Source organism: Homo sapiens, chromosome 20 (genome assembly GCF_000001405.40).
Source record: "Homo sapiens chromosome 20, GRCh38.p14 Primary Assembly".
In the NCBI taxonomy this organism is placed as follows: Eukaryota; Metazoa; Chordata; class Mammalia; order Primates; family Hominidae; genus Homo; species Homo sapiens.
Genome location: NC_000020.11, coordinates 35,491,109 through 35,511,176, shown reverse-complemented (window position 1 = coordinate 35,511,176; position 20,068 = coordinate 35,491,109). Strand labels below are relative to the sequence as shown.

General features: G+C 50.7%; 1 protein-coding gene across 26 annotated transcripts in view; it reads right to left on the bottom strand.

Annotated features, from left to right (window-relative positions):
• Positions 1-20,068, bottom strand: part of CEP250 (centrosomal protein 250) — a 64,116-nt gene that overhangs the window by 8,104 nt on the left and 35,944 nt on the right. For 20 of the 26 annotated variants that reach the window (XM_006723691.2, XM_005260262.5, XM_005260264.5 and 17 more), the window contains 13 exon segments: positions 19,831-19,965; positions 17,605-17,748; positions 16,520-16,653; positions 14,462-14,600; positions 13,110-13,458; positions 12,461-12,582; positions 11,008-11,128; positions 9,211-9,332; positions 6,172-8,787; positions 3,326-3,439; positions 2,987-3,142; positions 2,133-2,234; positions 1,123-1,179 (listed from right to left, as the gene is read on the bottom strand). In XM_006723691.2, coding sequence (XP_006723754.1) covers positions 1,123-1,179; positions 2,133-2,234; positions 2,987-3,142; positions 3,326-3,439; positions 6,172-8,787; positions 9,211-9,332; positions 11,008-11,128; positions 12,461-12,582; positions 13,110-13,458; positions 14,462-14,600; positions 16,520-16,653; positions 17,605-17,748; positions 19,831-19,965 — 4,311 coding nt within the window. 26 annotated transcript variants of the gene reach the window in all.

The window sequence follows — 20,068 nt, the reverse complement described above, 5'->3', positions numbered from 1 at the left end:
AGTGATTCTCAATCCTGGCTGCACATGTGACTCAAATAGCGCGCTTGAAAACCACAAAGCTATTCATCAACTTCACTGAAAGATAATTTACATGTGAAAAATGCCCAGTTTTAAATGTACATTTTGATGAGGCTGATAACAATATATACTCAAGTATAACCACTATCTGACTTTTTTTTTTGAGACAGAGTCTTGCTCTGTTGCCCAGGCTAGAGTGCAGTGATGCAATTTTGGCTTACTGCAACCTCCACCCCATCGGGTTCAAGTGATTCCTGTGTGTCAGCCTCCTGAGTAGCTACGATTACAGGTGTGCACCACCACGTCCAGCTAATTTTTGTATTTTTAGTACAGACAGGGTTTCGTCATGTTGGCCAGGCTGGTTTCAAACTCCTGACCTCAAGCGATCCGCCCACCTTGGCCTCCGAAAGTGCTGGGATTTCAGGTGTGAGCTACTGCACCTGCTTTGACTTTTTAATAAAATAGAAAAACATTCTGAGTTTAATAGAATTCAAAGTAATAGCTTAGGTCTAGCTACAGAGTCAGGCCCTGCCAGTAGTGACTACTGATTTCTGAAATAGGCTCAGAAATAAAAAGGTAACACTTATGATTCCTGCAACTTGAAAGGGAGAGTGGACTTTTAGTTGAGGCCTAAGAGGCAGGAAGGCTCTTCAAGTCACTTCTCTGCGAGTGGCGGCTTGAGCTGAGCTGTGTGGCCTGGAGCTTGTGCTGAGCTGTGTGGCCTGGAGCTTGTGCTGGTGCCTGGCTCCTCTGTCTGGGGCACTGGCAACAGTCTTGGCTGCGAGGGCACCTCTGAGGGCAGGGAGGCCAGGATGGCTTCCCTTGCTCCCACCTGTCCTCCTAGAATCTTCTGCCTGCTCCTCAGCCCTCTTCCTATTCCTTTCCCTTTCTAAGTATGGATTTGGAAGTCGGGGGCCAGGATCATGCTTTCTTCCCCACTCCCACCCTAGGCATATGAGAGATGGGGTTGGGACTGGGACTATTTTTGCCTCCCATGGAGACTGAAGTTCTCTGAAGGGAGGAACTTCCCCTCTCCCTGCTGGAGGTGCACAAAGGGCCTGAGTGCAAGGGAGGGAATATGGGCTTAGAAAATCCAGAACATACCTCTTTCTGCAGTTCAGCCACACACTTGGCATCTGAGTTCTTCTGTCCTCTCCCATCCTAAGGAAGACAAACAGCACTCTTGTTGGCATAGGCCTTCCCACTCTGGGGTTTCTGCAAGTTTCCTTGCAGAACCTCATCACAATCTTAGGGGCCTGGGCAAGGGCTATGGGCCAGAAGCATCTGAACTCAGACTGGACGTCTATGGGGCAGCAGGCCCTGCAGCAAGGAGAGGCCCCACACCAGCATAATGGGCAACGCCATGGAGACCTGACACAAAACATCCAAAAGGCCTGGATGGCATTTGCTTCTCTGAGGCATGTTTTAATTTAACAGAAGTACACCATGTATCTGCTTTGTGCTAGCCCTGGGCTGTGAGCTAAGGATGCAGAGAGGAAGACACGGTGCCTGCCCTTGAGAACTTTCAATAAAGGACAAGGGATGGAGATCTAGTGCTCAGCCACCATAAACAGCGCCTCCCTGTCAGGCTGCAAGCCTGTGTCTGTTGGCAGGGATACCTCACCTAGACGAGTAGTTTGGGGAGTCTTCCCCAAGCCTCTTACCCAAAAAAGGGACACTGGCTCCAGGAAAGACCATGGACCCTAAGCCTATAAACTCAACATTGTAAAAAGGTCTAAGAGATCAAGCTGTGATCAAGCTCCTAGGCTCCTCAGGAGCTGGCAAGCACCACACAACCCCCATACACCAGGGATCCTAAGCAGAGCCCCATGAGCCCCACTCCCGGGCCAGCCTGTGGCACTGGTCTGGGAGTACACAGATCTAAGTCCCTCAGAAGGCAGGGCCACTAGCCACCCCAACCCCCACCCCAATGTTGGGCCTCCTTCTCAGGGCAGGGACAGACTGAGCTGTGCCGAGCAGGGCAGAATGCAGTCAGGAGGGGCTCTCTGGACTAGCTGAAGTGCTGTTGGCCCGGGATATGCAATGAGGAGGGCTGAGTTTCTGGTGGCTGGGGTTGGGCTCTCTAAGGCTGCAGCTGAGGAAAATGAGTAAACCTGCTGTGTGGGTGAAGAAGCCGTGGCCTTGCTGATCTCTAGGGACCCTGCCTGGGCCGCACGCATGGCCTCCCTCTTCAGCTTCCTCCGTTCTCGCTCCACCTGCCAAGGTGCAAATAAGAAATCAGGGCTCGGCTTGGCTCTGTGGTTGGAGCAGAGCTGCCTTTCTCCAGAGGTGGCCAGTGCCTGTGCAGGTATATGAGGGGACAGTAACCATGGGAAGAGAACTCCTGGCTGAGGAAGGCACAGCTAGGGCAGGCCTCAGTGCAAAGAAGTGCTCCTGAAGCAGAAGAGGCAGGGCCAGCCTCTCAGACCTCTGGAGCAAAGGCCAGCAAAGTTCTCCTGCAGTAAGTACTGTAGGCTTTGTGGGGCATAGCAGGGAAGCAGCCATAAACAATGCATGGCTGTATTCCAATAAAACTTAATTTTCAGGGCTGGGCGTGGTGGCTCACACCTGTAATCCCAGCACTTTGGAAAGCTGAGGCAGGCGGATCACAAGGTCAGGAGTTCAAGACCAGCCTGGCCAACATAGTGAAACACCATCTCTACTAAAAATACAACAATTAGCCAGGCATGGTGGTGCATGCCTGTAATCCCAGCTATTCAGGAGGCTGGGGCAGGAGGATTGCTTGAACCCGGGAGGTGGAGGTTGCAGTGAGCGGAGATCGTACCATTCCACTCCAGCTCTAGGAGACAGAGCAAGACTCTGTCTCGGGAAAAAAAAAAACAAACTTAATTTTCAGAAACAGGCAGCAGGCTGGATTTGGCCCACAGGCTGTAATTTACTGAGCCTATGCTCTAGGGACCACACGAGAAGTGGAGATGCATGCCCACTGGACAAGAAGAGGGGTCACCTGCTCCAAGGTACTCCGCAGCTGGACATTGTGGCGCTGCAGCCTGCTCCTGTCAATCTCCAGCCGGGCCACTGCTTGCTGCAGGTGTTCAAGCCTTTGTCTCCATGACTGCTTCTCCATTCCATCAGGACTAGGCTCAGCCTCCACTCCTGAGACCTGTGGGAAAGACCTGTGAATCTCACCTGGGCAGCCCCTAAGACAGGTAGGGAACAGACAGAGGACACACAGACCAATCTGGCAGGTTTAAGCTTCAGGAACCCAGTTCCCAAGGGAAGGGGACAAACCCCTGGACAGGAGCTCCCTGCTGGGTCACCTGTTCCCCCAGAGCCCCCAGCTCACCTCTCCCAGCTGCACACCCTGCTCCCCTCTGGACCCCAGTTCTGCTGTGCTGGTTGCACCTGGGCTGTGTAGCCGCTCCTTCTCCAGAGCCCGTCTGGTGAGCTCCAGTTCATCCTAGGGTACGGAGGTATGGAGCAAAATCACACCTTGCCAACCTCATATCCAGACCAACCCATCCTCCACACAAACAGCGGTTCAATGTTCTCCTCAGGCTTTTGTCTTATTTTTCCTAGAGGCTCTGAGTCATTCTAGTACAGAACCTTCATTTTACAGATAGGTAAAACAAAGGAGCAGAGGGGCTCTTCTCAAGGATATGCGGTGAGCTAGCAAGGAAGCTAGGATCAGAGCCCCCAGCTCACTTCACATCTCCTAGAAGGCTGAGCAATGACTCAGAGCACTGATGTGCTGTGGGAACAGCATGGACTCTCGAGTCACACAGGGCTGGGTGCCCTGTGGCGTACCCAGTGGCCCATATAGCCACTCAGTGGCTATATGACTCTGGTCAAAGCACAAGCTCTCCCCAAACCCCAATTTCCTCATTTATAAAACGACTACATGCACCATGAAACATGGATCAAGTCCTTAGGTTAAGTCCCTTTGGATAAATGGGGAAGCCTCATGCTAGATACTTTCTAGGTGCCCTGTGGTTCATAAATGATAACAGTCAAGAAGAGATGAACAAGAGAAAACAAGTGTACGCAGGTGGATGTGGGTTGCCTGGGAGAGAGGAAGAGCTTGGTGACAGAAAGCCTGCGCTCTAGAGGCAGATGACTCAGACCTCATTCCAGTCCTGCCATTTATGAGTTTGTTTTTTTGAGACAAGAGTCTCACCCTGTGTGTTTGGAGGTGGCAGTGGGTGAAGTGACTCTGACCAGAGTTATGTTATTGAGTGAATACTGCTCAGTAACCCAAGAGTATGGGTGGGAAGTGCCCTCCTGCCCAATTACATAACTTACTTTTGCTGTGCCTGTAAGAATGGGCCTGAACATAGGAAAGGAGGTCCACTTAGTGCTTTCTTCCTAAGCAATTCATACATATCATGCCATGTCATACCACCAATGCCTATATTACTGATGAGAAATTGAAGATCAGAGTGAAGGCATTCACCCGGGGTTACACAGCTGATAAGCCGCACTACTGTATTTCAAACCCTGTGAACTTTGGAGTTCACAGATGGACCTCCTTCTCCTCATATTGCCCTTCACCAAGAGCAGAGCTTTGTGAGTTCCCAGAATGAACTCTCTGGGGGACTGTGTGTCTGGGGTTCTCTGGGGCCCAGTCAAGGGACCAGGATGTAGAGTCTATTTCCCTGGAAAATTGGACTGGGCGTCTTTTGGAAAAAGAGATGATGCCTCTCTCTCTTGAGCCAACTTGGCTTTCCTGTTTGCCTGCTCTCTGCAGGTCTTGTGCTCAGTACCGGGGGTACAAAGGTGACTAAGACACGGTGCTTGACCTTGAGGTTAAATAATACACCCTGAAGTCCTCTCCTAAGCCCACTTCCTCTCTCACTCAACATTCTGCCTACAAGAAACCCATTTGTTCTAACTGCTGATGACTCCAAAGTGTCTCTGGCTTCAACTCCATCCTTCAGCTTCAGATCATTTTACTGACCTGCCAACAGGCTCCTCCCTCCATTTCCAAACTGACCTCATCATTCATTCCACTCCTCTTTCTCACACCTGCTTCTCTTCATCTTCATGAACAGGAACCTGAGTGTCATCTTTGACTTCTTTCTGCCCTCTCTTTATTCCTCCCACCTCTTAGCCAATCAAGTCCTACCTCTCAGACCCACCCACATGTCTCCATTCACACTTTCCATCTTAGGGCACAAGCTCTCCCCTGGACTTCCCAGTACAGCCTCCCAGTGGGTCTCTCCAGACATGCTGTTGCTCCACACGGCAGCCTGAGCAATCTTTGTGAGCTGTATGTCTGATCACATCACTCCCCTGCTGCAAAAACTTCATCTGCTTCCCACCACCCAGGTCCTCAGCATGACTTGTAAGCCCTGACAGGTGTGGCCCCTGCTGTCTTCCGGTCTCTTCCCAAATCCTCCCTCTGTCCCATGCAACCTGAACCATCTACACAGATACTACACTTGTTCTCGCCCTCTTTTCCTCTTCCCGTGAATGCTCCTCCTCAACCTGTGCTTGGCTAGTTCCTTACTGGTCCCTTCACGTCTATTTTTTTTTTTTTTTTTTTGAGATGGAGTCTCGTTTCTTTGCCCAGGCTCGAGTGCAATGGTGCGATCTCGGCTCACTGCAACCTCCGCCTCCTGAGTTCAAGCAATTCTCCTGCCTCAGACTCCCAAGTAGCTGGGATCACAGGCACATGCCAGCATACCTGGCTAATTTTTGTATTTTTAGTAGAGACGGGGTTTCACCATGTTGGCCAGACTGGTCTCGAACTCCTGACCTCAAGTGATCTGCCCGCCTCGGCTTCCCAAAGTGCTGGGATTACCGGCGTGAGCCACCGTGCCTGGCCCAGGTCTAATCTTAAACACCACTTTTACCAGAAAGCCTTTCAGGACCCACTCCCAGGAAAGGGTGGGCATCCCTCCAGCATGCCTGGGGCATACTAAACTTCCCCCATTAGGCACCAACCACACTGCATTATCGTTGTTTACCCACTAGACTGTGAACTCTGTGAGGGCAGGGACTGTGGGGTTCTTATCCTCTCTGTATCTCCCGACTAGCACAGTAGCCTGAATCCCACCGATGTTGAGGTGCTCATGATCTCAGCTTTCTCATACCCCTGAGGTGCCACAGGGCCCAGGGTGGTGGGCAGTCCCTGAGCTCAGCCAGACAGGGGTGTGTCCCCTGGCCCTTACTCCCCATGGAGTGACTTACCTGCAGCCTTTGCTGTTCTGAGTCCCGCTCCAGGACAGAGGCTTGTAGGAACATGGCTACCTCCTGCAGACTGCTGACACTGGCCTTGGTCTGCGCTAGGGAGAGTGCCAAGTCCTGGGCCTTCTCCCTCCACTCAATCTCCCTGGCTTCTGTCTGTCTCAGGGCTGCCTGTAGCCGCTCCAGCTCCCGCTGCAGCCTGGGCTCTAAAGAATCAAGTTTTAGAGATTGTTCCTCCATTGGGGAGGTTTTGTGGCTGTGGGGTAAGGCTTCCAGGTTGTTCCTTTGCTGGGTCTCCCTCAGCTCCAGAATCTCCTGTTCCTTTTGGGCTAGAGTCAGCTGTAGCTCCCTTACACTCTGATGAAGGCCCCTTATCTCCTCCTCTTCTCTCTCTTGCCCCAGATTCTGCTTCTCTTGGATCATATTCTCTTGGACCCTCTGGGCCAGAGACTTCTCCAGCAGCTGCTCCCGTTCCTGCTGATGTCTCAGCTCTTCATCCCTCTGGGCAAGTGCCTGCTGCAGCTGCTGCACATCCTCCTGGTATCGGAGATCCTGGTCCTGGATCTCACCTTCTTGTATCCTCAGAGCCTCCTCCAGCTGCCGACTGTGTGCCTGGCAGGCATCCAGGGAGGCTTGCAGGGTTGCAGTGCTGGCCTCCAGACTGCGGCTCAATTCTGCCTGCTCGAGGAGATGCTGCTCTTTCCCCTGCAGGGCAGCATGAGCCTTGCCAAGGGCCTCCTGCAGAGCCTCAGCCCGGGCCCGGGCAGCCTCCTCCTGATGCCGGGAGGACTGACTTTCTGCCCGCAGAGCTTCCAGCTCCTGGTCCCGTTCCTTGAGCACTGCCTGGGCCTGCAGCCAGCTGTCCTGCAGGGCCCTGGTCTCCACCTCATGCTCCTGTGCCTGCTCAGCACACTGCTGCTGGAGGGCCAACAGAGCTTTCTCCTGTTCCCGAGACTCAGCCCTTAGGTCTCCCAGCACCTCCTCCAGGGCCTGGACCCGCCGTCCCTCCACTGCCAGCTCTTCCTCCAGCCTTCGTGCCTGTTCCTTGTGGTCCTGAAGCTCTCCATGACGCTCCTTCAGTGTCATATGGGCTTGCTCCAGAGCTCCCTGGAGGGCGTCTGCCTTTTCCTTCACCCTCTCCTCCTGTCCCTGGGCCTGCTGCTGTTCTTGCTGCAGAGCCTCCAGTTCCTGGTCCCTCTGGGCTAGGGCTCTCTGGGCCTCATCCAGTTGACTCTGAAGTGACTGCTCCTTCAGCTCCCCTTGTTCCCTGGCTTCCTGCAGTTGCTGCTGCAGGACCACTATTTCCTGCTCTCGCTGGGACAGGAGGAGGCTGGTCTCACCTACCTTCCTGTGCAGGCCCTGGAGCTGCTGCTCCAGCTGGTCTTTGAGCTCCTGGAGTTCATGGATATGCTCCTGCTGACATTCCACCTCCTTCTCCTTATCACGCAGGATCAGCTTCATGTGCTCTAGGCTCCCGCGCTGTGCTTTACTTGGGCCCTTCCCTTCCTCTGCCCGTTCCTGCATCAGCTGCCTCTGAGTGGTCAGCTCCCGGCCTCGCTCTCTCAAGGACAGCTTGATCTGTTCCAGGTCCTCCTCCAGGATCTTGGTCTGCCGGGTCCTCTGATCCTCGAGAACCTGAATCCTCTCCTTCTGCAGCATCAGCTCCTGGTCTCTCCTCTCGAGATCCTGAGTCAGATGCTCTTTCTGCCTCTGCAGCTCCTCGATCTGTTCTCGCTGAGACTTCACCTCCTGGTCCCTCTCCTGCAGCTCTCTTGCCAGAACGGTGCTGTGGCTCTCCAGGTCATGGATCTGGCTGCTTTGTGCCTGCAGCTCCTGGCTCCTTTCTTCTAGGTCCAGCGTAAGGTGGGTCAAAGCCACTCTCTGGGTTTCCCTCTGGCCCTCCAGCTCCTTGATCAGTTTTTGCTGGCACTCCATCTTGTGATGGTTTTCCTCCAGTTCCAGGGCCAGGCATTCCAGAGTAACCAACTGCTTTTTCAGGTCCTGAACCTGTCCTCTCTGGGACTCAATCATTTGGTCTTTCTTCTCAAGTTCTAGAAGCTGATGCTCCAAGACGTTCCTCTGAGTCTCCCGATCCTTCTCGAGCTCTCTGATCTGCTCCCTCTGCACAGTCAGCTTCTGCTCTCGCTCCTGGACGGCCATGGGCAGATGCTCTAAAACAGACCTACACTTCTCTAGCTCCTGAATCTGTTCTTGCTGCAGATCTACCTCTTGGTTCCTCTTCTTCAGGTCCAGAGACAGCAATTCCAAAGCAGCCTTCTGCATTTCCCGTTGCTTCTCCAGTTCCTGGATTTGTCCCCGCAGAGTCTCCACCTCCTCTTCTCTTTCAGCTAGGGTCTGGGTCAGGAGGGCCAAATTCTCTTGCAGAGCCTTCCCTTGGGCCACCTTCAGTTCGCCCTGCTCTTGCAGAGCCTGGGCTCTCTCACGCTCACTCTCTACTTCCTCATTTTTCAGCTTCAGTGCTGAGCGAGCCGTTCTCAGGTCTTCTTCCAGGATGCCAGCAGCACTTGCCTGAGCCCTGGCTTCTACGACAGCTGCTTGCAGGTGTTCCACCTGGGCTGTCAGGTTCTCCTTGGCTGCCTGAAGTAACTCTCGCTCACCCTAGAAGACAAGATGAAAAGCCACTTTAGACTACACTTCCCTGCTACTGTCACCCCAACACCGACCCTTCTCTTTCTTATTTTGTGGCACTAGCAGTGATAAGGACTTGGGCAAAAAAAAGTGGTGGTATATTCCACTTAAGCTGATACTGTAAAAGGGCATCCCTACCACCTTCCAGGACTCTGCTATGCCCAGGGGAGACGCTGGTCCTTCAGGACAAGGGGCAAAAATATCAACCTCAATTCAGAAAAAGCAATTGAAGGAGGATTCATTGGAACCTGAATAATGGCCCCCAGGGACATGGAGACAGCCAGAGGAACTGACAGACTTGCTGAAGGAAGTGGGACACAGGACCACAGGCCAAGGTGGGCCCAAGGGACTACTCCTGAGGCAAACCCCTCCCTGAAACCAGTACCACTTTACCTGGGCTTCCATTCGCTGTAGCTCTGCTCTCCGCAGGCGACTCTGTAAGGATGCCATAGTTTCATGTAGTTCCATCAGCTCAGATTCTAGGGAGTTCTGCTTTCCTTCCCACTTAGATTTCTCTTTGAGAAGAGAGGAGAGGAGAGGAGAGGTAGTGGAGTAAGACCCATGTTTGGGATATAGAGGGATATAGAGGCAGATGGAGGATGGGGAACAGATTCAAAGGGAAGGAAGGCCAAGAAGGAGAAAATTATATCCAGTGTCCTAGAGATATCAAGGACATCAAGAGCTGGCAGATGCCAGCTGCTTCTATTTGCCTGGCAGCACTCCCTGCTGCTGCCAGCCCCAGCACTGCCTGGTAATCATCCCAATATGTCCTCATCCTCATCACAGAGAGCCTTGGCCCTCAATTCCAGACAGGGTTGAGCCAGATGACACTGGAGGTTCCTTCTAGCCCCCAGTCCTATAATTGTGCAGGAGCTCCTAGAGACCCGGGTGGCTCTGCTGGTTGCCCACCATTTCTGCAACAGGCGTTGGAATCCCATTATTTTTGTGGCTCTCAGGGAACCCTCAAACGGCCTCAAAAAAGGCCCAGACCCAAGGTGTCCTCTTCTCTTTTTTTCTTTTTTTGAGATGGAGTCTTGCTCTGTCACCCAGGCTGGAATGCAGTGGCACAATCTCGGCTCACTGCAACCTCCACCTCCCGGGTTCAAGCGATTCCCCTGCCTCAGCCTCCCGAGTAGTTGGGATTACAGGTGCCCACCACCACACCCGGCTAACTCTTCTCTTTTACAGTAGAAACTTGAGCTTCAAGACCCTTCCTCTCCTGTCCTTTGTAAGGAGTCATGACACTTTCTAGTCCTTGGCTGGCACATGGATATATCCTCCCCAGATCCCCTCTCTTTGCTTTCTCCCAAATAAGCTCATAATCCCTCAGCTACCAAAGGCTAACTTGGAGGACACAGTTGAAGATGATAAAAATAAGTAACATGGATGACAAAAGATGCAGTTTTATAATGTTCTTACAGTCCTGGCCCTGGGTCTCCAATTTTTTTAATTTTTAAATCTACAGAGACAGAAAATGGAAGCCCAGCCATTTCCTTCTTTCAGTTCATCAAATCTGTTCCTCCTAATCTCTTCTTCCAGGATGGGCCTCAAAGGCCAAGCAAAGCTGAAAAAATAGTTCAAGGTGGTCAGCACCCCTTTGGAAGTGCATCTAGATCTCACCTCACATTTCTGGGTAAATAATGCAGTGCAGCTGGGCGCAGTGGCTCACGCCTGTAATCCTAGCACTTTGGGAGGTCGAGGCAGGCGGATCACTTGAGGCCAGGAGTTCAAGCACTCCCTGCTGCTGCCAGCCCCAGCGCTGCCTGGTAATCATCCCAATATGTCCTCATCCTCATCACAGAGAGCCTTGGCCCTCAATTCCAGACAGGGTTGAGCCAGATGACACTGGAGGTCCCTTCTAGCCCCCAATCCTATAATTGTGCAGGAGCTCCTAGAGACCCCGGTGGCTCCGCTGGTTGGTGAACATGGTGAAACCCCGTCTTTATTAAAAATCCAAAAAAATTAGCCAGGCGTGGTGGCGCATGCCTATAATCCTAGCTGCTCGGAAGACATAGGTTGCAGCGAGCCGAAGTCGTGACATTGTACTCAAACCTGAGTGACAGAGTGAGATGTCGTCTCAAAAATAAAATAAAATAAACAGAGTGGCTGCTAGGCCTGTGCCTGCCACTTCTGGGCTCCCCACCTATCCCTTCTCCCTCTCAATCTCCCTGCCTGTCTTGAGCTTCTCACCTTCCTGATTCTGGGAGAGCTGTCTCTGCAGATCCTGCAACTCTGTGTGGACCTGGCTCTTCTCAGCCTCAGTATCAGTTAGACGCTCTTCCAGTTTCTGGACCTGATCCCTCAGAACATCCTGGGAAAGGAAGGGCATGGCTAAACGTGAGTTCCTCATCTTCCACAAAACAATGCAGGGCTCAAGCTCTCTCCTCATTCTCAGCTTCTGTGGTGGGCCGCCATTGTGGACCTACTCCCAGATTGCCGGGTTACTTCCTTTAAACACATGTGTATTTAGCTTCCTGAAGTGATGACAGGCTCTGCTCCACTTGGATGGAGTGTGAGAATCCATCCCCTTCTGACCTATCTATGTCTTTTGAAACAGAGCTCCTGCTCAAAGTTAGCCCAGGGGTCACCACTTCCCTCTCAACACTCCTACTTCAAAGCTCAGCCCAAAGGTCATCTCTTCTTTCCTTCTGACCCTTCCCAAATCAGGATGAATTGCCCCCTCCTCCTAGTTCCAACAGTGCATCACTTGCGTCTGTTATTGATCCAATTAATTCTCTCAGTTCTGCTTTCCAGTAGAATGCAGTTTGGTTCCTCCACCATGTCACAAGCCTTCTTTAGGCAGAGACCAGGTCTTTCTCCTTTTTGTATACCCAGCCCAGAGTGGCTGACATATGGATGACACTCAATTTGTATTGACTGATAGGTTCACTGTGAGGTGGAATTTATGAGCTCTTTCAGACCTAGGCCTAGAACATGCCTATAAATGCCAACCTCAAATCTCAGTGGTCACTGATTTCTAGGGTTTCTCTTGGAAGCCTGGGTACCAAGAATTAATTCATAGCTGAGTGGAAGATGATGGAAAACAATGCCATACATCTGCCCAGGGTTTTTTTGTGTTTGTTTGAGATGGAGTTTCACTTTTGTCGTTCAACCTGGAGTGCAATGGCACAATCTTGGCTCACTGCAACCTCCACCTCCCAGGTTCAAGTGATTCTCCTGCCTCAGCCTCCTGAGTAGCTGGGATTACAGGTGCCCACCGCCACCTCTGGCTAATTTTTGTATTTTTAGTAGAGATGGGGTTTCACCATGTTGGCCAGGCTGATTTTGAACTCCTGACCTCAGGTGATCCACCTGTCTCAGCCTCCCAAAGCACTGGGATTACAGGCATGAGCCACCGTGCCTGGCCTACCCAGGGTTTTTTGGTTTACAGGGCTCATTCAAGATCCTCTCTCATCTAATCCTCAAAACCCTGAGCAGGCACTATCTGCCCTACTCTGCAAGGGAAAACAAGGCCCAGGAACTTCAAATGCTTCATTTGTGGTTGCCAGGTGGTAAGTGATAGAGGTGAAACTCATCCCAACTTGATCTCAGGAATAAAACAGGTCAAACTGCTTCACACCCCTTTGCCTCATGCTTTTCCAGGGATGTAAAGAGTTCGGGAAAGGGGAGCAGAGAAACATACCCGGGTCTGTTGAGTCTTCCACAGGTCTTGATGAAGCTTGTGGAGGGCAGATGCTACTGCCTCAGCGGAGAGAGCAGTCAGCAGGGGCCCTCTCTTAAAGAGGCTCCTAGCTCCATTCTGGTCTGAAAAAATGAGGAAAACCTCCTTACCTGGCTGCCACTATGAAAAGAAACAGCCAGACCTCTCCAGACACAGCCCTGTCCTTCCAACTGGTCCCTCCTCTCCGCAAAGAACCCCTTTCTCAGCAGTTCACTCATCACATATTTTCTCCATAAGTATGGGCCAGGCACTATGGTGGGTGCTAGATTAATGCGAGCTATCACTTATTACGCACTTAATAAGTGCCAGGAACCGTGTAAGTGATTCACATCTGCAACCTCATAACTCCTTGGTGAAATTATAAGGTAAATACTTTTAACATCCTCATTTTGTAGTTGAGGAAAATCAAGCTCAGAGAGGACAGGTGACTTGCCCAAGGACACATAGCTAGCAAATGGTAGAGCTGGGGCTTAAACTCAGAATTAATTCCCAAGTATGTAATCTTAACCCTGAAGCAATATGGTCTAACAAATAGCATTCCTCTCCCTTTCCCCTGGGAGCCAGGCCTGGCTTTGGCCCAAAGGACCTAGTTCTGGGGAGGCTGTCTCACCTGGCTCAAGGCCCCAGACGGAAGGAGCAGAGTCTCCCCCACCACTCAGCTCAGGCCTGCTCTCACAAACAGACCCCAGGGCCTGCTGCAGGGCAGAGTAGAGGCTGGCCAGCTGGGCCTGGGCCTGGGCCTGGTTCCCGGGCTGCTGCTCTGCGGCCAGCGCTTCTAGCTGGCTCTCTGTGCTGCGCAGTCGCAGCTGTAGTTGGGCTGCCTTGGCTTCCTGGGCCCACAAGGAGGCTCGCAGCTGCTGCTCCGTGATATGAGACGCCTCCAGCTCCTCCAGCAGCTGTGCTTCCTGGGCCAGAAAGTCAGCCTCCTTTTCCTTCACCTCTTGCCTTAGTAATTCCATCTGTCAAGGAAGAATTTTACATAATATAAGCAGGAAGCGGATACCCTCTCCTCAGGCCTTCCCAGGCCAGACCCCACTCAATCCTTGTACAAACTCTGATCAGGGCTGGGAGGATTTCAGCTCAGCTCTCAGGCAGGTAGAGGGGCTCTGAAATGAGTGTTACCCTAGATCTAACACCTGGCTGCCTGCCGACTACTGAACACATGGGCCCAGGCTGCTATGCTAATGGGCTTCAGCCCTGGCTTCCTGGGCAGATATGCTGGCTCCTTGCTATGACCAGAACTCTGCCCTGAAACCTCGACGCTGCGCCTAGTAAGACCAGTCACAATAACATAGCTACCATGTATTGAATGCTTATTGTGTTCCTGACACTTTATATATTCCTATAATGGTTATAGGAATTAGGAACAAGAATTGTTCACCCTTGTTTTATGGATGAAGAAGCTGACGTTCACACAATTAGAAAGCTTACATTCAAACTCAAGACCATTGAACAGCCAAACCTGTGTGCCCTTAACCCCTGCAAGCCACCATCTGGCTCTTACACCCCATTCCTTCCCTCCTAGTTCCATCTTTTCTCTGTATACAATATCTGGGGTTCTGATGGGGGCAGACTGAGTCCCTGGAAGTCTTGCTGCTGCCTGCCTGATCTGGAGTATTTCTGGTTGCTCATTCTCCCTGCTACATCTTGCCAACCAGACCCAGCATACTTTGAAGCCGGTGTGCTGGAACCAGGCCTGCATGGGCTACACCCGTGTGCACTTTGCTGTGGGCTGTCAGGTTTCCCACAGGAGCCATGTCCATCTCTGGGTCAGATTCCCAAGCCCCCGCCTTGTCTAGTCCTGGCTTCCCCCTCCTGTAGGGGTGTTGAGGCACCAGCCTATCCTGTAATCAGGAAAAATAGATGGGTCCTCTCCATGAGAGGACTCAGAGCAATCAATCCACCGCTTCAGAATCAGGCTTCTGCCAGGGATGCAGAGCTCATAACCAGAGTGGGAAGTACCTGAGCACTGAGCTCTTTCTGTTCTCCCTGGGCCTCCTGCATGTCCTGGCGCAGGGCACTCAGCTCTTGTTGTCGAATAGAGTCAGCTTCTTGTAAAACAAGGAGTCTCTGTTCCTTTTCCATCAGTGAGAGAGTCAGGCTAAAAAGAGAGGGGTCAGAGTGCTGGGCCATTCTCTTAGGGAATGAAAAATTACCTTCTCATCTGAGTATTCTAAACATAGCATTAATAATCAAAATAGAAATAGTAATGATAATGATTATGATGTAACAATAAAAGCTATCATTTATTGAGCACTTACTATAATAAGTGCTCCTAGGTACTTCCTGCAGATGATGCCCCATTTCAACCTCACAGGTTTTTTTGTGTTTTTTTTTTATTGAGACAGAGTCTTGCTCTGTTACCCAGGCTGGGGTACAGTGGCACGATCTCGGCTCACTGCAGCCTCTGCCTCCCGGGTTCAAATGATTCTCGTGCCTCAGCCTCCAGAGTAGCTGGGATTGCAGGCATGCGCCACCATGCCTAGCTATCAACCTTATTCTTCTCTGGCAAATTTCACACATACCTTATATTAGTACCTCACGTTCAACATGTCCAAATCTTCCCCATCCCTTTCCTCTCCTCCCCTGTCCACCCAATCATCTCCTACTATGTTCCCTAGCTCAGTGAATGGCACTTCCATCCACACAGTGTCCTAACGTAGAACCTTGACTACTCCAGAGTTCTCCCTTCAACCTACCTACATCCAATCTATAATTATATACAATTGATTCTAACTCCCTTAACATCCTTTAAACCTCTTCTCTTCTCTCCTCCTCTTCCCCACTACCCTACCTTGGTTTAGCTTTAGGATCTCTCATCAGGACAACTGTACCAGCCTAACTTGTCTTCCTGCCTCTAGATTCACCACCAAAATAATGTGTCCCTTCTCAAACTGTGTCTTTTTTTTGTTGTTTTTTGCTTTTTTTGAGATGGAGTCTCGTTCTGTCACCGAGGCTGGAGTGCAGTGGTGTGATCTCAGCTCACTGCAACCTCCACCTCCTGGTTCAAGCAATTCTCCTGCCTCAGCCTTCCAAGTAGCTGGCATTACAGGCACCCACCACCATGCCCAGCTAATTTTTTTTTGTATTTTTAGTAGACATGTTGGCCAGGCTGGTCTTGAATTCCTGACCTCAAGTGATCTGCCCACCTCAGCCTCCCAAAGTGCTGGGATTACAGTCGTGGGACACAGCACCCAGCCCATCCCCTTCTCAAATTCCCACAGCACTAAGAATACAAGCTGCTCTTCACTCTGAATGGTCTTCTTTCACTCCTGATGTCTCATGGCATTACAATCCCTTCAAATACATCATAAGTTGGATTGTATCAATTTCCCTGCTTAAAATTCTCCAGAGGTTTCCTATGAAACTCAAACTACGAACTCCTTGCTGTGGCCTACCAAATCTTGAATGCTGTGGACCTGCCCAGCTCATGCCACTCTCCTCATTCACCAGGCTCCAATTACAATCCAATCAGGCTCCAACCACTCTTTCAGTTAACACTGTAAACTTTTATCTGCCTCACGGCCTTTGCATATTATTTCTCCTCTTACGGAATAGAACTCCCCCTCACCCTTTTACATGGGTAGCTCCACTTCATGCTGAGTGCTCAGTTTAAATGCAACTTCCTGAGAAAGGCCTTCCCTAACAATGGTTCTAAAGTCTCTTCTCTCTCTCACCCTGTTTCCTCCATGTGTCATAACGTAATAATTTGAGTTATTATTTGATTAATGTCTTCCCCACAAAACTATAAATTCTACTGGGGCAGGGACCATACAGTCTTGTTTATCACTGTATCCCCAAGCATGGTGCCTGGTGCATAACAGGCGTTCACGAAATATTTACTAAATAAATGAAGTTCAAGCTTTGAAGACAGGAACCATGTCCTCTCCACATGGCTACATGTACATCCCAGAGTTGCAGACATGAAAGGCAAGGTGGCCTGAGCAAACAACTGTCAATATCACAGTGACCATGGCAGCCAGATAGACAAAAGCCACCTCCATGGCCTATCTAGCCTACCTGGCTTTCTCTCTCTCCAGCTCCTTCTGAATTCGGTTATACTCCTGGGTCTCTCTCAGCTTCTCCTGAACCTCCTGCTCCACCAGCCTCTGGGAGTCATCCTGGGCCACCAGCTGAGACTTCAAGTCCTCCACCTGGAAAATTAAGGGCATGAAGACCAAGATGGCAGGGCAGGGGGCCGGTGGGAAGATGCTCCTCACCTAGGGCTTCAGGGTCCTTCGAGGTTTACCATAGTCAGTGGCCATTTCCAATGCTCTGGCGATTCTACCAATTCCTACACACTGTTCTTAACCACCCCCTTCCTCAATACAATTCGGCCTGGTCATCTGCCTCCCAGCCTCACATATGCTGCATAGAGGCAGGCACAAATAAAAATCTTGGCTGGGCTGGGTGCGGTGGCTCACACCTGTAATCTCAACACTTTGGGAGGCCAAGGCGAGCAGACTGCTTGAGACCAGGAGTTCGAGATCAGTCTGGGCAACATAGTGAGACCCTGTCTCTATAAAAATTTAAAAATTAGCCAGTGTGATGGCACACATCTGTAGTCCCAGCTACTCAGGGGGCTGAGGTGGGAGAATTGCTTGAGCTTGGGAAGTCAAGACTGCAGTGAGTTATGATCTGCACTTCAGCCCGGGCGACATAGTGAAATCCTGTCTCCCCCACCAAAAAGAAGGAAAAAAAGGCTGACTATAACTACTCCCAAAGGCAAAACATGTATTGTGATTGCTTTTTTAAAAATGAAAAGTCAGAACATCATTTGATATAGGATTCTGAGGAGAAGCAACCTAGTATGTAAAAATATTAGATTTTTGGCAAGGACGGAAAGAACAATTGAAACTGAGACAGCCAGGGAAAACAAAAACTCTGTGACCATTACAGAGAAAGAGATTACTATCCCAGGGCTCTGCCAGGCACATGCTCAACTCTGAGCACCCTCTAATTTTCCACTCAGTACTGTGGCCCACCCATCTACCCTCCCAAACCAGGCAGCAGGGCCAAGGTTCTCCCTGTCCTGCAAGAGGAAGTGGGAAAGCCTGGCTGTGTTGGGGAAGGACCATGGGACTTGGTGGGGAGGAGGAGGGGACCTGCTTCTGCAGGTCCATCTTATCCTGCAGCAGGGAGCTGCTCTCTTCTTGGAGGGCAGCAAGGTCATCTCTGTGCTGCCGGGCTGCCTCCTTCAGCTCCCGTTGAGCCTCCTGGAGCTGGGTCTGTAGTATCCCAGTGGTCTCCTGAAGAGGGATAAGAAATCATTGAGTAGAGGAAATCTGTGTCATAGAAATACTGGTTTTTTTGGTGGGGTGGCAAAAGCTGAGGCAGGAGCCAGCAATCCACATTGTTTCCACCTCACCTTCTCACTTCCTAGTCCCTCTCCTCCCTCACAAAGTGCACTGGCTCACCCAGGTTTCTTGGTCAGAGTCCATGAATTGGTAATAGTCTCTCACCTAGACCATGGAAACAGTCTCCTAACCATATCCCTACTTCCACTTGATGCCACGATCCCCTAAAAACACACACACACTATTCTCTACTCAGGAGAGTAGAGAATACATATACATATATGTATATACATATGTATACGTATATATAAATAAATCATATCCCACCCCTGCTTTTTAAATACCATCCAACTGCCCAGGCGCGGTGGCTCACGCCTATCATCCCAACACTTAGGGAAACCAAGGTGGGTGGATCACTTGAGGTCAGAAGTTTGAGACGACCCTGGCCAACATGGTGAAACCCTTTCTCCACTAAAAATACAAAAATTAGCCAAGCATGGTGGCGGGCACCTGTAATCCCAGCTACTTGGGAGGCTGAGGCACAAGAATTGCTTGAACCTGGGAGGCGAAGGTTGCAGTGAGCTGAGATAGTGCCACCGCACTCTAGCCTGGGTGACAGAGCGAGACTCAGTCTCAAACAAATACATACATACATACCACCCAACAGTTTCCCATTGCTCTTAGAACAAAATCCAAGCTCCTACAATGGCTGACACAGGGCTTCTGGCTACCGCTCCACTCGCCCCTGAGTTTATCAAGCTGGAGCCACACTGCCTCCTTTTTGTCCTTGAACTTCCCAAGCCCTCTTCTGTGTCCCAGGGCCCTTGCGACAGGTGTTTCCTCTGCCTAAAGTGTTCTTCACATGGCAGGCATTTTTTTTTTCAAATGGCTTGAGATATAACTCATATACCATACAATTCACTCATTTAACGTATACTGTGTAGTGGGTTTTAGGATATTCACAGAGTTGTGCAACTATCATCGCAATCAATCTTAGAACATTTCCATCAATCCCAAAATAAACCCCGTGCCCATTCACAGTCAATCCCCATTCCCCACCCCATTCCCCACCATAAATCTGTTTTCTGCCTCTATAGAGTTGCCTATTCTTGGTGTTTCATATAAATGGAAGCATATCATATAAAATATATGGCTCTTCCACTTAACCTGATGTTTTCAAGGTTCACCTATGTTGTATCACGGAGCTGGTTTCTTTCTAACCTTCAAGTCTCAGCTCAGATGTTACTTTCTCAGTGAGGCCTTCCCTGACCACTAAGTGCAAAGTGAACCTCCTTTGACTCACTCTCAGTTGTATCATTCTATTTCCTTTACAGCACTTATCACAAACTGTAATAATCTCATTTACTTTGTGTCTGCTCATTTGTCATCCATTTCTGCCACAGGAATGTAAGTTCCTTGAGAGCAGGGGCAATGTCTGTTATGCTGACTGCTGTGCCACACCTTTTTTTTTTTTTTTTTTTTTTTGAGACTCGCTCTATCACCAAGGCTGGAATGCAGTGGCGTGACCTCGGCTCACTGCAACCTCCGCCTCCTGGGCTCAAGCTATTCTCCTGCTTCAGCCTCCCAAGCAGCTGGGATTACAGGCAAATGCCACCACACACAGCTAATTTTTGTATTTTTGTAGAGATGAGGTTTCACCATGTTGGCCAGGCTAGTCTCGAACTCCTGACCTCAACTGATCTGTCCGCCTCAGCCTCCCAATGTGCTGGGATTACAGGGGCCTGCCACCATGCCCGGCTAATTTTTGTATTTTTAGTAGAGATGGGTTTCACCATGTTGCTCAGGTTGGTCTTTAACTCCTGACCTTAGGTGATCCACCCACCTTGGCCTGCCAAAGTGCTGGGATTACAGGCGTGATCTACCCTGCCCAGCCTGTGCCATACCTTTATGTACTTGTCATATGTCAGCACCTAGCACAGGGCCTGGCACATAAGAAGTGCCCAAGAACCCTTCATGGTCGAATGGGTAAATGAGTGCCCCTTTCTCCCCTACTCCCGAGACCACCCTCCATACCTGCTCCTTTAATTTCTGGACTTTCATGTCCTGCCTCAGTCGTTCCAGTTGTTGGCTGGCATCTGCTAGCTCCTTCTGCGTCTGCAGCAGTGTCTCCAGGAGGGATACTCTCTCCTTCTCTGTTTCCAGCTGCATCTGTGGAGGGGTAGGGGGGTAACAGCTTGTGGGCTCAGGATTACCATGCTCACCAACGAGGCCACAAGCACATCCCAGCTGCCCTAGGGCTCTCCTAGCAAAT